Source organism: Homo sapiens, chromosome 7 (assembly GCF_000001405.40).
Source record: "Homo sapiens chromosome 7, GRCh38.p14 Primary Assembly".
Lineage (NCBI taxonomy): Eukaryota > Metazoa > Chordata > Mammalia > Primates > Hominidae > Homo > Homo sapiens.
In genome coordinates this window covers 29,846,760-29,862,211 of record NC_000007.14, presented here as the reverse complement: position 1 = coordinate 29,862,211, position 15,452 = coordinate 29,846,760, and the positions used below count along the sequence as shown (strand labels likewise).

Below are 15,452 nucleotides of genomic sequence, written 5' to 3'. Positions count from 1 at the left end.
AAGGTAAGTGGGCCAGGAGGTGCTGCCAGCAAGGAATCTAAATGGATGTGTTCTGGGAAGAAAATGCCCCATGAATTATATGCCTCAGGGGACCCGTGGACACCATGGAGTGCCAGAATGACCTCCCCTCCCATGTCAGCAACCACACCAGGGCTTCCCGCTACTGCATGGCTGAATTGCTGCAAAAACACTTCCAGATAAATCTTCCCCAAATGCCATCAGTCCCTCTTCTGCGTAAGAATGGACAATGGCTCTGTCTGGCTCAAATATATCTTTTCCATGAAGTATGTTCTGAAAACTCTGGTGAATCTTTCTTCATTTACCTGATTTTCCCCAAATAACGATGACAACAACATCAGTGTCCTATGATTGCAAACATTTGCAGCTTATAAGTCTGTCCCTAGATATGATGGCATGTGAGTCTCCCAACAACCCTGAGGGGTAAATGTCAGTTCCTTCATTTTTCACCACATAAGCCCAGTGACCCTGCACGCCAGCCATTCAATCCGTACTTGTTTGACTTTCTTCTTCTATTAAGCACAACCATTCTGGTCTAAGTTCTCTACAAAAACAGACTCAGGCTGCTGCTCTTTAGAGGACAAATATCTATAATAAAGAAACAATAAACAAGCAATATATTAATAAATAAATAAATGGCAAATAGAAGGTAGTATAAACTACTATGCTAACAGGTCACAACGAAGAGAAAACAAAGGAAAGGAGGCAGGAAGGCAGGACTAAGACTGTGCAGTACCCCTGCCACCACCCCTTTGCCCTGTGTATTTAAGAAAAATCTCTCTTGTAAAGTTACATTTCTTTTCCTAGGAAAATATTTGTTATGTCCATATGTTCATGGACAAAAGGTCAAATATAAGCAAATATAGTAAATGAGTGCTTCCATATCATGATTTGCAAGTAAAGTATAAACTCTTCCACTCCCCCCAGAATCACCAAACTGAGGGTATTGCTCCCACTCAAACAAACATTCACTGAGAATCTCCTATGGGCAGGGACAGAGTAGGGGGAAATCCAGACACTTCCATATATTACTTCCATGGTGAGGCTCAGGAATGAGCTGAAACACCTAGAATCTACTCCATCTACCTCTGGGCTTTGCTGGCATTTATGCGACATAGATAAGTCATTTAAGAACGAGCTTAGTGTGCAGCCCCAGGCCTGCATTTCCAACTGGCTGCTGAACATCTCCATGTAAATATCCCACTAGTACCTCAATCTTAACACATCCAAAACCAAACTCATAATCTCTGCCCCACCCCCACCGCTCCCCACCGTGCACAAACACACTCCTATGCATCTCTTACTCCTATTGTGATACAGAGCTCAATAATATCTTTCAAGTTAACCAGACTTAAAACCAACAATTCCCTGTATCAATAATTTGTCAATTTTACCACCTATCAACCGTGCCTCCAAATGTATCTCTGATTCCTACCATCCTTTCTAGTTCTACTACAATTTCTTGTGTTCACTCTCTTTACTTCTCACCCATACCATTTGAACTATGGCTCCAATCTTAGCGATGGGAGTAGATCATCCTCCAGGGGTTATCTTAGTCTGTTTGTGTTGCTATAAAGGAATACCTGAGCCTGGGTAATTTATGAAGAAAAGAGAGGTTTATTTGACTTACAGTCCTGCAGGCTGTGCAAGAAGCATGGCGCAAGCATCTGCTTCTGGTGGGGGCTTCAGGCTGATTCCACTTATGGTAGAAGGCAAAGTGGAGCCAGTGTGTCCAGATCACATGGTAAGAGAGGAAGGAAGAGAGACAGGGGGAGGCACCAGGTTCTTTTTAACAACCAGCTTTGGAGGGAACTAATACAGCAAGAACGAACTCATGGGGAGCTGTCCCCATGACCCAACCACCATCCATTAGGCCCCACCTCCAGCACTGGGGATCACATTTCACAATGAGGTTTGGGGAGACAAGTATCCAAACTATAGTAGGTGTATAGGTGGAAGTGGGAAGTTTGAGAATCATGGATTTAAATGGTCTTCTAATGGGACTCTTGCTTTCAAAACTTTTCCTTACAAACTTTCATGTTGTTTCTCCAATTTAGTTCTCTAGATGCAGATCAGACATCCACAGACTTAAGTCAAAATTCACTAAGCACAGAGTTTAAGGCCTTCCAGAATCTGACCACGGTCCATGTTTCTACCCACCCACACACTACAGATGCCAACCACACATGCCTAGTTCTCCATTCCCTGTCCTGTCCACACAGTTGGTGTCTCAAGGCCAATTCTCAGGCATTCCCTCTACCTGACACAGCCTTCTCCAATTCTGTTTATTGAACTCACACTCAGCTTCCAAGGCCCAGCTATGAAGGCTCTCTCAGGGAGCCCTAAGTTAATCTGAGTCAGAATTAATTATTCCCTTCTGTGCATTTCCACTCTTATAAACTTATGTAAAATGGCCATGCATTTTAACAGTTTAACCCAGACAAGCAGATATCAGCTGGGGTTTCCCAAGCCCTTGAGATCGAGAGGAAACTGGCTCAGACCTCCCGCTTGACGCCCTCAGGAAGTACAATGCCTGCCAAAGACTTCTGCAATTTCAGGGGAGCTTGTGTCTCAGGGTCACATTTGCTTCCAGGTTCCTACTTTCATATATCCTGTCTCTGCTGTATTCCTCATGCTCTCAGAAATGCAGCTCAGAACCTTCTGGGATAGTCCCCACACCCAAACAAAACAAAACAAAACAAAGAAACCCCAAAACACTCACATAAAGCATTCCTGATAAGCACAGTAGATGTTATTGAAATGTGGTAGAGAACAGAAAGGCTCTCCCTCCCAAGCATCATCAACACCCTCACACTGAGCACTGGGCATCCCTGGCCCTCAGATGGCCTTTGATCTTCCCGACATGGAATGTCACCTGGTCCAGCGCTCCTTTTGTCCCAAACCTCAAACCAGTGTTCTGGATCTTCTCTCTCAGCTCCCTGCTCAACCGTCTTCTCCCTCTGCCCAGCCTCTTATGCATGGAACGAATTCTTCGCCTTGTCTCATGTGGTGTGGTTTATCCATTCTTACTGCTACCTTGTTCCTGCCCTCAAGTTCCAGCCCTACCTCCATAGTTCATGAAGATATTTCCCCAAAAACAGCTCCCTCCCTAAGAAGTGCCAACTGCAGACATCCTAGTTTCACATCTTGACATGTATCTGTCTTCTCCAAGTAAGTTCCTTGAGGCAGGAATTATGTCTCAATCAACCCTTCCAGTACTGAGCATAGTGTCTTATACATAATAAGCACTCTTAAAGCTTCATTAAAATAAAATAGGTTCTTCAATGTGAAAAATACAGTGGGAGCTGAAAATAGAAACAAGTATTTTTGTCATGAGAATCACAGAAGGGGCCCACTGGTATACTTAAAGTGTGACTCATACAACATACCCTCCTTAATGACACTCTTTGTATATTAATAAAATGGGGCCACCTCAAACTCTCCCTGAAAAGTACAGTAGCATCTGTTTAAGTGAATGCCAGCAATTCTAAAAAGGAGCAGAAATAAGTGGAAGGTCACGACAGCTGCAATGAATCAAAATAAAATGTAGGCTCTCATTGTTCTTAATCATCATCGAAAAGTCTTTATGACAACTATGATAGGCAGAGAATTTTGCTTAATGGAACAGACCAACTATCTGAGGAAGTACATTGTAACAGAATAAGGGGGGTGTATTTTTAGTTCACTTCTCTCGACTGTTTTTGTCTTGCACCTCCTAAAATTAGGCCTGCTGATTGAGGCTATATGTAATGAGAGTGGTGTGGGCTGATGTAACCATTGCTCTGAACCTAAGATATATCCTTACACACTGTCCTTCTTTTGTGCTGATGGGTCTCTGCCTCCTTGGTATTTCAGTGAAGTTAACCCACACGCTATGGAAGAGGCTACAGCCTTGTTGAGGGTGGGGTGAGGGGAGAAGCCATTTAAAGACCATGAAGCATCTGGAAGTCACAAGACTCTGAGAAATAGAATATCAATGTAGTTTAACAAACATCATCAACTGCCTTTGATGTGTCAGCTACTATTCTGATCTCTAGTATATTCCATTTCACTTTAAGAACCAAAAATACTTGTACTGGCAGAAAATATGGCTATGTAATATGAGAAAATATGGCTATGTAATATGACTGTAAGACACTTACCATAAAAACTAATACATAAACATTTTAAAGAAATCACATTAAAATGCCAATAATCTCTGGTACTCAGTCTGCTCATTTTGAGTAACAATAGGTTCATGCTGCAACAACCATGAAAAGGAGGGTTTTAAAGATGATGAATCTTTAAAAAATACAGAATGTAAGTCTTGATGTGCACAGTGGGAGAGGCTGTGCATGTGTGGCAGCAGTGGGTGTACAGGAACTCTCTGTACTTTGTGCTCAATTTTGCTGTGAACCTAAAACTGCTCTAAAAAAGTCCATTTAAAAATTAAATCACATATACACACAGAGATATATTCAATGTTTACATGGAATAGTTTAAAGAAAATCATACATTAAAGCTCCACAGTCATCAACATCCCTGGGAGAAGTCACTGGGTAGGAGGTGGGAGAATGTAGAAACCCCAGGTAACACCAATGGCCAACAGCAGCTGGGCCATAGGAAGCAGAGCTCTGAAAAGTGTGTCTTCTCCTTGAATTGGTGGACACCTGCACTGAGCTTTCTGGTTTATTTTGTCAAAAAATAAATCAGACATCTTATAAACCAGAAAAAAAAATCTGTAGAAGCCAAGTACTATGGAAAGGGTGTAGGAAAACTCTGCGGGAAAATCACTGTCTCAACTTTTTGTGGAATGAGTTGGGGCATAATCTACTAAAAATCAAGAAAAATAAATTCATCAATTTATATTTTCCAAAAGAATCAGGGACACGTTGCCATGATTCTTTTTAAGAGAAACAACTTAGTTTATCTTCTGAAATGCCAGATTATGGGGGAGCAAAGTTTAACTACCCTATGTCACAGGTTGGGGACAAGGTGAGGTGAGGGAGGTGGTTAGGGTGTAAGGTGAGGGAGGTGTGTGAGTTCCCAGTGAGGGCCCCAGCACTGTCTGCTCTGTGCTTCACGCTGGTAAGGAGGGCAGCCATTCTCATCCAATCCCTTAATCACCAAGGTCTCTTATCACTCAGTTCCCGCTCAGCCTACATTCTTTGCTACAATGAATATATATTACTTCATATTATCTCTTCATATGTCTTACCTGACGGCAGAGACAAATAAGGCTCCACTGATTTGGGTCTCCCATAGCTTAGCATAGTGATTTGCGAAAAAATAGACATTAGAGTAACTTGTGCCTATTGACTGGTGGATTTTGAGATTTGCTAATAAAATATGACAAGAGTGAAAAAATATTTATTCCTTAAACTTTCCATGTTGCCCAGAAGGTTCTTACATGACAAGTATTCTACCCCACCAACCTTCTGTCTAAGGGTATCATCCCATTTTCAATGACGAGCCATTGATCTGACAAGGTAAAATCAATATAAACAAATAAATAAGAATGACAATAAAATGCAAGTTCTGTTTTTAAAGAGATAGCTAGAAAGTTTTGTTTGGTTTTTCTTTTGAGACAGGGTCTCATTCTGTCACCTAGGCTAGTGTGCAGTGGCAAGTTCACACCTCATGGCAGGCTCAAGCAATCCTGGGCTCAAGCTGGCCTCCTGCTTTAGACTCCTGTGTATCTGAGACAACAGACAGCACACCAACATGCTCGGCTAATTTTTTTATTTTTTGTAGAGATGAGATCTCATTTTGTTGCTCATGCTATTCTCGAACTCCTGGGCTCAAGCAATCCTCCAGCCTTGGCCTCCCAAAGTGCTGGGATTGCAGGTGTGAGACACTGTGCCTGGCCTGAAGATTTTTACTTCTCAGAATTTTAAAGTAAGAAGGAAACTTAAAGTACGTATTAAATATGACCAATATTTAGGAGGAAATACCATAGTTTTTAAGGATAGATTAGGGAGATATACAATAGGGAATAGAATACAAAGGCATGAACAAAGGAAGAAGAAAAGATATGTATAAAAACCCCTAAAGATATGAATAAAGGTGGGAGATATGTAGGGTGGGGTAGGTTTACAATGGAAAAGGACAGATTAGCAAAGTCTGTGAGGAAGATAGCTATGTGTATGTCTATAGTCCTATCTACATATATACATACATATCTAAGAAACACACAAAAGTCATGTTGAGAGACATAGGGTTACCAGATAAAATACAGAATTCACAGTTAAATCTGAATTTCAGATAAACAACAAATAATTGATTTAGTGTGAGTTTGCTACACACTTATACTAAAACAATTATATGTCATTTAATTGAAATTCAAGTTTAACAGGGTGTCCTGTACTTTGATTTGCTCACTCTGGCAACAGAGACAAAATAATAAAGGGACAGTAGAGTGAGAAAAAATGGAGACAAAGAAAGGGCAGGAGTGAGATGATTTGTAAAAAGTGAGTTAACATTCACTTCTTGTGGTTTCTTTGGTACATGTTTGCAACTATCAGCCTACACTAAGTCCCCCTGAGGCTAACCCTGGGTCTGCTCGTCCACTCCAGCCATAACTGAGCCCCATCACTCCAGCAAGAATCAATTAGAACAACAGTGGCCCCCAAAAGGGAGCCAACAGCTGCTGCATGGCATGTGAGAGGGACAATTCACTTTGTGATTACTGAAAGACTGTCCTATAATGAATGCTGAGACCATCCAAGGTTGCAAGGAATTGACACAATTCTCCATATAAGCTTCTAGAAATAGCAGATATCTGTCCATTGATTCTAAATGCATTGCTACTGCAGCACACTCAGCAATTTATGTCATTAGAAGCAAAGCCCTAAAAGGCTCCTTCTAATCAGAGATTCTGCACTTTTTCTAAACAGTAGACAGAACAAGGCAAAACAAAGCAAGTACGACCAAAACAAAACAGCACAGACACTTGGGGGAAAGGATGTGCATCCACATCCATGTATGAGCACGGGGTGAAGATACAAGGTGCAGATTCTGTCCAGGAACACTGAATTCTGCCTCAAGAAAAATACGTTTACCCCTAAAAGCCTTTCCTCAGGTTAATGGCAGCATCTCAGAGGATGGAAGCTGGGACTTCATAGAGCTGAGGGAGCCTCAGTTGGTTTCTGCACACGCTTGCTAAGAAAGACATTGTGCATTAGTTTGTTAGGGCTGACAACAAAGTACAAAGACTGAGTGGCTTAAACCGCAGACACTTATTTTCTCAGAGTCCTGGAGGTTAGAAGGTCAAGACCAAGGTGTTGGCTGGCTGGTTTTTTCTGAGAGCCTCTCCCCTTGGCTTGTAGATGGCTGTCTTTTCCCTGTGTATTCACATGGGAAGTGAAGCACTAGCACTTCACTTTATCTTAATTACCTTTTCAAAGGCCCTCTCTCTAAATACATTCTGAGGCACTGGGGGTTAGGATTTCGACATTGGAATTTGGCCAGAGAAACATAATTCAGCCCACAAGAAGCTGAGTCTACGACCGAGTCACAGGCTGCGGAGCCAACACCCATCTCCCTCTACTGGGTGCCTCTGACATTTATCAAAGAAACGTGGTAATTGTGAACAAGCGACCTGGCCCAGGTCACTTCTGCTGCAGGGGAGTCTGTACACCTCAGTGGAAGGGATTCGTCATCTGTTAAACAGGACTCCTCAATTTGGCCCTGATGCATTTTCAGAGTGTGTCAAAGTCAAACAAGTGTTAAATGTAGTCCACCTGTTGGCATATAGTGCTATCCATAATAAAACATTAATACTGATCATCAGTGGTGGATGCTAATAGTGCATATTAAAATGCCACACTCCATATTTTAGCTTTCAATTTCATCCTACTTGGGATTAAAGAATCGAGCCACAGCTGAAAATACTTTTGAGGGTCTTATAATAGCATTCTATAAATATAGAGAAAATTCTGGGAGAAGTGCATCTTTTGTGCAGCCTTTAAAATTCTTCTTACATTAATGCCACCAGCAGCAGGTGGCTAGGCTGTGTAACATGAGGCTTTGGTGTCACTGGTGAACCTATGGAAGGATGTGCTCTCCTCACTGAGTGCGTATTTCCTGAGCAGCTCCAAAGGCCGGGTGCCTCACTGATTCATGCTGCTGATGCCAGGAACGGCAAGGCAAGTGCAATCTCCTTCCTTAGGGAGTTTACCAGCGTGCAGTGAAGGCAGGTGATACATAAATCATCCGAAGTGTAATGGTGTTTAAACTTCGTGAGATCCCTATCAGACATAAATGCTGCAATGAAATGTGAGCTTTTGTTTTACCGGTTCACATTAATTCCAAAGCCAGGAAAACGGTAGTAGAAGGAAAAAGAGCATCGCTATGCCCAACCACACCACCACCAGTGAACACCTGGATGGTCCTTATTCTCTACTAAGCTCTTCATATGTATTAATTCAATTAGTCTTCACATCAGCCATAATGAGATAGGTAGTATTTTAATAGAGAATGAAACTAGGGCACAGAAGATTTAAGTAATTTGCTCAACCAAGGCCGCAGAACTTCTGGGATGGCAACACAGGAAGTCTGGCTCAGGAATCTTAATCACCATGCTCTAAAAGAGCCTCTAAAAGAAGGGGCCACACCAGCCATGCAGGGCCCCTGTGTGAGAAACACTGTCAGAGAAGGCCATTGCTACTGGCCCTGTTGCTAGTCTCCTAATACTGACTGCCCTGGGGCTTTAGGGGATGCACTGTGGTGGAGGGGACAGAGGGCAGGGGATGGAGTCCTGTGGACTCTGAGCAAGCACTGGAGCTCACTGTGCCTGTTTCTTCCCCTATGAACCTGTCCCTGTGAGAAGCACAGCCATAGCAGATGCTGTGGGTCTCCCATGCACACCTGCTCAGCCTATTCCAGAGGATGACTTCACCTCCCCTCTGGGCTAGCTGCCTGTTGGACTCTGCCAGGGGAACTCCTAGAGGAGAAGGCACACCCCTGCAAGACAGATGGGGAAAGTGCCTGAGAGTCACAAGAGTTGGTGGAACGACTTGAGGCAGGCTCCACACAGTCTCTCCAGGATACAGCAGGGGTGCAGCCCCAGTTCCCCGTACACCCATTACTGGTTTTCCTCCCTCTTCTATTTCACTTCCTCACTCTCTTATCAGGGCATCCAGGAATCACCTCCCAAACAAACTACTTGCACCCAAAGCCTTGTCTCAGAATCTACTTTTAGGGGAGCCCAAAATTAGACCTTACCTGTCTCATGAAGGTGTTGAAAGATCCAGTGATATTCTATGGGGAGATGTTTTTTAATTTGTCACACTGCTGACAGCAAAATGTTAGAGGATTACTATTATGAATAATAACAGGAAGGTATGATTATAATTGCTGTGGAAAAGTCTCCCTGTCAATAAGTGACTTTGGACACACACTCCTTCCTTTTTCTAAACTTGTCCTCCCAACCTGAAACTCAGCCATCACCACTGGGTCTGTGTTAGAAATCCTGAGTTCAGGGTAGGGGGCAACTACATTTGGCAGCAAAGAGAACAAGTGGTTTCGCAATATGCACCTGTTTCTTGGGGAAGACATACAAGAAGTTCCAGCAGGTTGCATAGCCCTAGGGCTACTGCTCCAGGTGTCAAAGCAGTGAATCAGGGAACTGAGTGGTAAGATGATTCTTGTTGGTCTTGATTCTCTTGGTGTCTGGCTCTTGTTAAAGCAAGAATAATATGTCCTAATATAGCTGCCATATTTCAGTTCATTTCACTGAAGAACAAGGCTGTACATGATTTTGTATTTTAAAGAGTTTTCCTATGAAATCTCATTTTGTTCCTTCTATCCTCCTTAGGAAGCTGATGTGGTATGGTCATGGCACCTTCTACTTTTGGCCAGCCTCTCCCTGTTTTACTCTTGAGAACCCAGCCTTTGAAGAACATGTTTAAAGCTTTAGGCTAGGCATCGTGGCTCATGCCTATGCTTTGGGAGGCCAAGGCAGGAGGATTGCTTGACGCCAGGAGTTTGAAACCAGCCTGGGCAACAAAGCGAGACCTGTCTCTACAAAATAAATAAAAAATAAATTAGCTAGGCATGGTGTTGTGTGCCTGTAGTCTCAGCTATTTGGGAGGCTGAGGCAGGAGGACTGCTTGAGTCCAGTAGCTGGAGGCTGCAGTGAGCCATGATTGTACCACTGTACTGCAGCCTGGGTAACAAAGCAAGACTCCCATCTCAAAAATTAAAAATTAAAAAATTAAAAAAATAAAAATAAGTAAAATTAAAATAAAAAGCTTTAGAGGAGCCTTTCTCTTCAGGCATTGTCTAGCAACACTTTAAATGAAACAAAAGCAACATGAAACAAGAAAGAAAATCAATAGCACGCTCAAACCTCTCCCTATAGGACTGTCCCCACTGTGGGGCCTGAAGGGTGAAGGGCACAGAAATCCAAGGTTACCCAGAGGGCACTGATGAGGCAGATGTGAAAGAAGCTCAGCTCTCAGGGCACCCGTCTAGTCAGCCCAGCCTGCACCAGCATGCGGCCATGCAGCTGGTCTTGCCAATAGCCCTCACCATCTGTGCCAACAGCAGGAAAGAACGACATTGAACGTCATAAAGTCCACCGAGCCTTCCAGGTCCACTGCTTGACAATTGCTTTTATCTAAGCCAAACAGGCCAAGCCTGGCACTGTCAGTCACGGAAATTTTGTGTGCCTGGAACACAAAAGTATATTGTTACTTTGAATGTAAGTCAATGGTGAGGAGGGAGTGGTCTTGCATGACCCTGGTGAGGAGGAGCAGCCAGGGTTTTTCCCAGATGAGGGTCAGGATTTGATGATTCCATTGAAAAGATTCGGTCAAAAAAAGAAGAGGAGGTGGGCTAAAAAGTGACAACCCCAATAAGGTAAAGAGGAGCTGATGTGTGAACTTGCTTGTGGCCGAGCCAAGGAGAACATCGCAGACACCAGGAAGTGAGCTTCACATTCTGCTCTGCAGAGCCCTGGGGAAAGGGGGGTTCAATCTCCGTCCCCCACCTCCAGTCTCAGCACCCTCCTGAGGGCAGTCTCTCCTGGCACAGAAGCAGAAGGTGACATGGCCGGCAAGGTCGGGCCTGGCAAGAGCATAATACGACACAGGAGGGTTTGCTGTATTTCCAGAGAGGACAGTGCGAAACTCAGTGAGGCTGAGCACCATCCCGAGATGCCAAGGACTGGGGGAGAGGGGACTGCCACTGATATAACTGAACACTTAGTATGTTCCAGGATCTGTGCTGATGCTTTAAAGCATCATTGCAGTGAATTCCTTTACAACCCCATAAAGGTATTATTATTTCCATTTCACAGATGAGGAAAGTGAGGTCCAAAAGAATTGGCCCAGATATCAGAGATGACTAAACTCGGGAGCCAGGTCCACCTGACACACAGGCCTGTGGCCTTTTCTTTCTAGCTCAGGTATCCCTCCAACACATGGGGAAGGTGAGTGTGTGCCAGGTGGGGCATGGTGCTCTCTGGCCCCCTGGAATCATGTTTATTGGTGAGTCTCCATTGTCCCTCTTTCAATCCTCACTTTCTGTAGTGGTTCTCAATGGGGTGAGTAGGGGTGGCATGTTCCCCTGTGTGAGCCTGAATCTCTGTGGTGGACTGTGAGGTCTAAAGAAGTCCCCGGGTACCCATGTTGTGACGTCTTGAGAATCACTGAAGGGGCGCTGCCCTGCCCTGTGTAACCACAAAGAACCAGACCTGCTGTGCTCCTCCAGCTCGGGAGAGGCCCTGGAGTTTGGCTCCAAAACCTTCTCTTCCATTCTCCTTCATATTCCTAATTCAAGGCTCCTAAACCTTCTCTTCCATTCTCCTTCAAACTCCTAATTCAAGGCTCCTAAACTTTCTCTTCCGTTTTTCCTTCATACTCCAAAGTCATGGCTCCTGAACTTTCTTCCATTATCCTTTATACTCCAAAGTCAATCTCTCTAATTTTACATCAACCATTGCTTTTGGTTTTTCCTTTTAGGAACTACCTATCAATAAAATTTTACTTTTTTAGAACAAAAACTAGAGGAAGTTATGGGGAACAAGCATGGTGCCTCTTCACGAAATGAAGTTTCACATTCATGGAAAAACATGCTCCTTTTAAATGTAACTATCTGAGCAAGCAAGTATTAGTAAACAGATATAGTTTCTGATGACCCAAAAGGCATATGAATGAGTCTTGAGATATTTTAAATTTCCAATTATTCTTTTATCCCTAAAGACATACCCTTCCCTCTGACAAAAAGCAATTCCCAAAAGCAACCCAGAAGAAAATACAAACGATTGCTCTGATGATGCTAAGCCCTTAAATAACTATTCCACCACGGTCTTAGATTTAATTTTCTAGAAAACTCCATCATCTGACATGTTTCTGTTCTAGAACATACACTGACCTATGCTAAGGTCTAGCACAACCAAAGACCTCTTTTCCCTTTGATTGTCTCTTAATAGTTCAGATGATGGTCTTTAACAAATATGTATATATAAAGAAATACAAACACGTGTATGCACACAAATTTTTTTTTAAAGCCGCAACACACACTTTGTATGCTATCTCCATGACCAGAAGCTTTTCTCTTAGAGTTGGCTTTAAGGCTCCTTCCCCCTCACCACCTTCTGAAATTCTTCAACAATACAGTCACGAGAGGCATTTAGTCAGACTAGAGAACACTGAAGGTGAAAATTCTTCCATATCTGGTGTCCTTGGCATCAAGAAGAGTTGCCAACTGGGAACTTTTGATTTAATAATTGCCCCAATGTCCTCTGTGCTTTGTGGGAGAAAACACCAGCTAGTGATAGATGTCCTTGTACAAGGGCAGAGAACAGTAAATGCAACAGTTTCACAAAATATTGTTTGATATCTGGTGTTCCCATTTGGTCTGTGGTTTATTTACATAAAAAGTAGCAAGGAAGATTATGATGGCAAGTCCCACAGCTTCTCTGACATTCCTGTTGCTTGTATCCATTTCCACTCTTAGGAGAAAAGACCCAAACTATTGCATATGTCAACTCAACGATTAGGGCAGGAGAGCTTAAAAACAAAACAACACAATAAAACCTTAACGTTAATCCCTAGAAAAACAGGAGCCAGATTGGGCTAGGCTGGGGTCGAGATAAGGGGAATAAATCACAGTGACATACAGAATTTCAAGCAGATGACTTATGAACTTTTATTTTTTAAATTAAAAAGCATATAATATTTGATCTCAAATGCCCACCTGAATTAGTGAAAGCATGCTACATAACTCCTTCCTTGGTTCTGCCAAATCACTTATATTTTGCACTAAATGTGAGGTTGTTGATGTCCACTAAAGTTTTTTTACTATGAAAAATTGTTAGCATACGTGATGTGAGTAGTACAATTGAGCCTCCAGGCATCATCATCCACCTTCAACAATTATCAACTCCAGCCCATCTTGTTATGTCTTTCCACAACCCACGTTCCCCCTCCAAATCCCTGCTTATTAAAAACATATCCAACACTGTACGAAATCACCCACAAATATTTCAGTATATAGCTATAGAAGAAAAGAGCTCTTAAAATATAACAAGCATATTATTAAATAAAATTAGCTGTAAAATTATCTACAGTTCCTTTATATAAACCAATATCCCATCAGTGTTCAAATTTCCCTGGGTAGTAGAGTTTTAAATGAATGTTTGGCTCAGGTAGAGAAAGACCAACCCACAGCACTAGAATCTCAGCATCCCAAAGCTGCCACAAGGCCTAAAGAACTTCTTTCTTTGCTTTGGAGAGGGGCTTGGGCTCAGGTGATCCAGAATTCTTGCATGAGTATCACGATTAAACCTTCCAGGGAAACGCAAGTCTAGGGAAACCCACGTCCTTCCCTTCCCTCTTGGTCTGCTACTGGTGAAGCTGCTTGTGAAATGACGAACCAACGGCAGCTTAGAAAACAAAGTCCTCTCCAAATGTTTAAAATGTTTGAATGGAGCTGCCATCTCACTGGAGTGGATGCTCAGGATGCCCCCGGATCTTCGTGTATTTGTTGCTAGCTTTAGCAGTTACAGTCCTATAGCTGCACCCATGTGGGTCTAATCTGTGGCTGGTTCCAGGTACCTCCTGCTACACCCGTGGGCCCAAGTCCACTCAACTCAGCAAAAGAGGAGAGAAGACAAACCATTCCACTCCTAAGAATCATGCTGCAGGAGCAAGTACTGGCCCCATGGACTTGGAACCCCAGATGACCTAGAAATGGTAACATCTGCACATTGTTTGGAATTAAAACAATTCCCCAAAATGAAGGCCTCAGAAGTAGCCTCAGAGGCAAAAGTTTATCTCTGACCTTCACCTGACCTCTTGTCGCTCAGTCCCATTCTCCCCCAAGGCTAACCACAGAAACTAGAACCCCTCTTCCCCAAGGAGGGTCATAGAAACCAGAGCCCCTTTTCCCCAAAGCCAGCCATAAACCTAAAAATATTACTCTAACTCCCCACCGCCTTCAGTGTAAAAACTGGCCATAAAGAAATTATCTGACCTGTTTTGTTTGATTGTAGGTCATAAGACCTCATTCCAGAGAGGGTCTTGTCCCACACCCAGAAGGAAGGAATGCAGCTCAGGGAGGCCGAAGGAGTCTAGACAGACACACCTTGCTGGGTTTCCCCTGTTCAGTCTATTAGCATCGGATCTACCCTCTTTGTCTAATCATATTTCCACACGGCTGTCAATACTCTGTTCAACCTAAACATAAAATAGATAATTTCCGCTACATCGTTGGGTCTTTATTCTAAAGACTCCCAGGTACACGTTAATAAAATTTATATGCCTTTTCTCCTGTTAATTGGCCTCTTTTCAGTGATTTTTAACAAACCTTCAGAGGGCATAGGAGAAGCTTTCCCTTGGTCCCATACCACCTATTTTTGGGCTATTTTCAGACTGCCGGCCTGACTTCCCACTTGGATAACTCAGGTTCTCAATTTTGATCTTGGCTTCTAGTGTCTGACCTCCTGCCCTGTATTGACCACAAGGACTTTTGACCTGAACATGTCGGTCCAAGATCGGGTTATTTATCCAGTTGTTTTCCAGTCCCCAAAATGAAAGTAGGTACTATTTACTAAGGAGGCTCTTGGTAAGCAACAGCTGCTACTGCTATCTTATGGGATCCTCACAATAACTCTATGCCTGCTATACTCCTGTTCAGGGCATTAAAGATGCATTGTGAGCAAAATAGACAAAAACAATCCCTCTATGAAGTTTCCATTCTAGGAGCAATGTACCCTAGGAAGTGGCAATTATTAGTCCCATTCACAAATGAGGAAACTGAGGCTTAGAGTTATTAAGTAATTTGCTTGACATCCTATGGCTAGGAAATGGCACAGCTGAAATTCTGCTTCCAAGGTGTATGACTCTAGAATCCACGTTTTGTTTTTAATACACCAGGCTGCACCATTACATGATCCCTACTGAAGCAGACAGCTTAGCACAATGAGTGCTGATTGGACAACTGTGGGA

The 15,452-nt window shown here is 43.0% G+C and overlaps 1 protein-coding gene across 2 annotated transcripts in view, besides 1 other annotated feature; it reads right to left on the bottom strand.

Annotated features, from left to right (window-relative positions):
- The window catches only part of WIPF3 (WAS/WASL interacting protein family member 3), a 110,554-nt gene that overhangs the window by 54,850 nt on the left and 40,252 nt on the right, over positions 1 to 15,452 (bottom strand). The window lies entirely within an intron of this gene.
- Positions 7,064 to 7,642: an enhancer, noted in NCBI's record as "OCT4-NANOG hESC enhancer chr7:29894186-29894764 (GRCh37/hg19 assembly coordinates)". NCBI's record gives its function as "activates a minimal SCP1, AML or CMV promoter by ChIP-STARR-seq in naive H9 embryonic stem cells {active_cell/tissue: H9 hESC(naive)}" and the evidence as "EXISTENCE:reporter gene assay evidence [ECO:0000049][PMID:30033119]".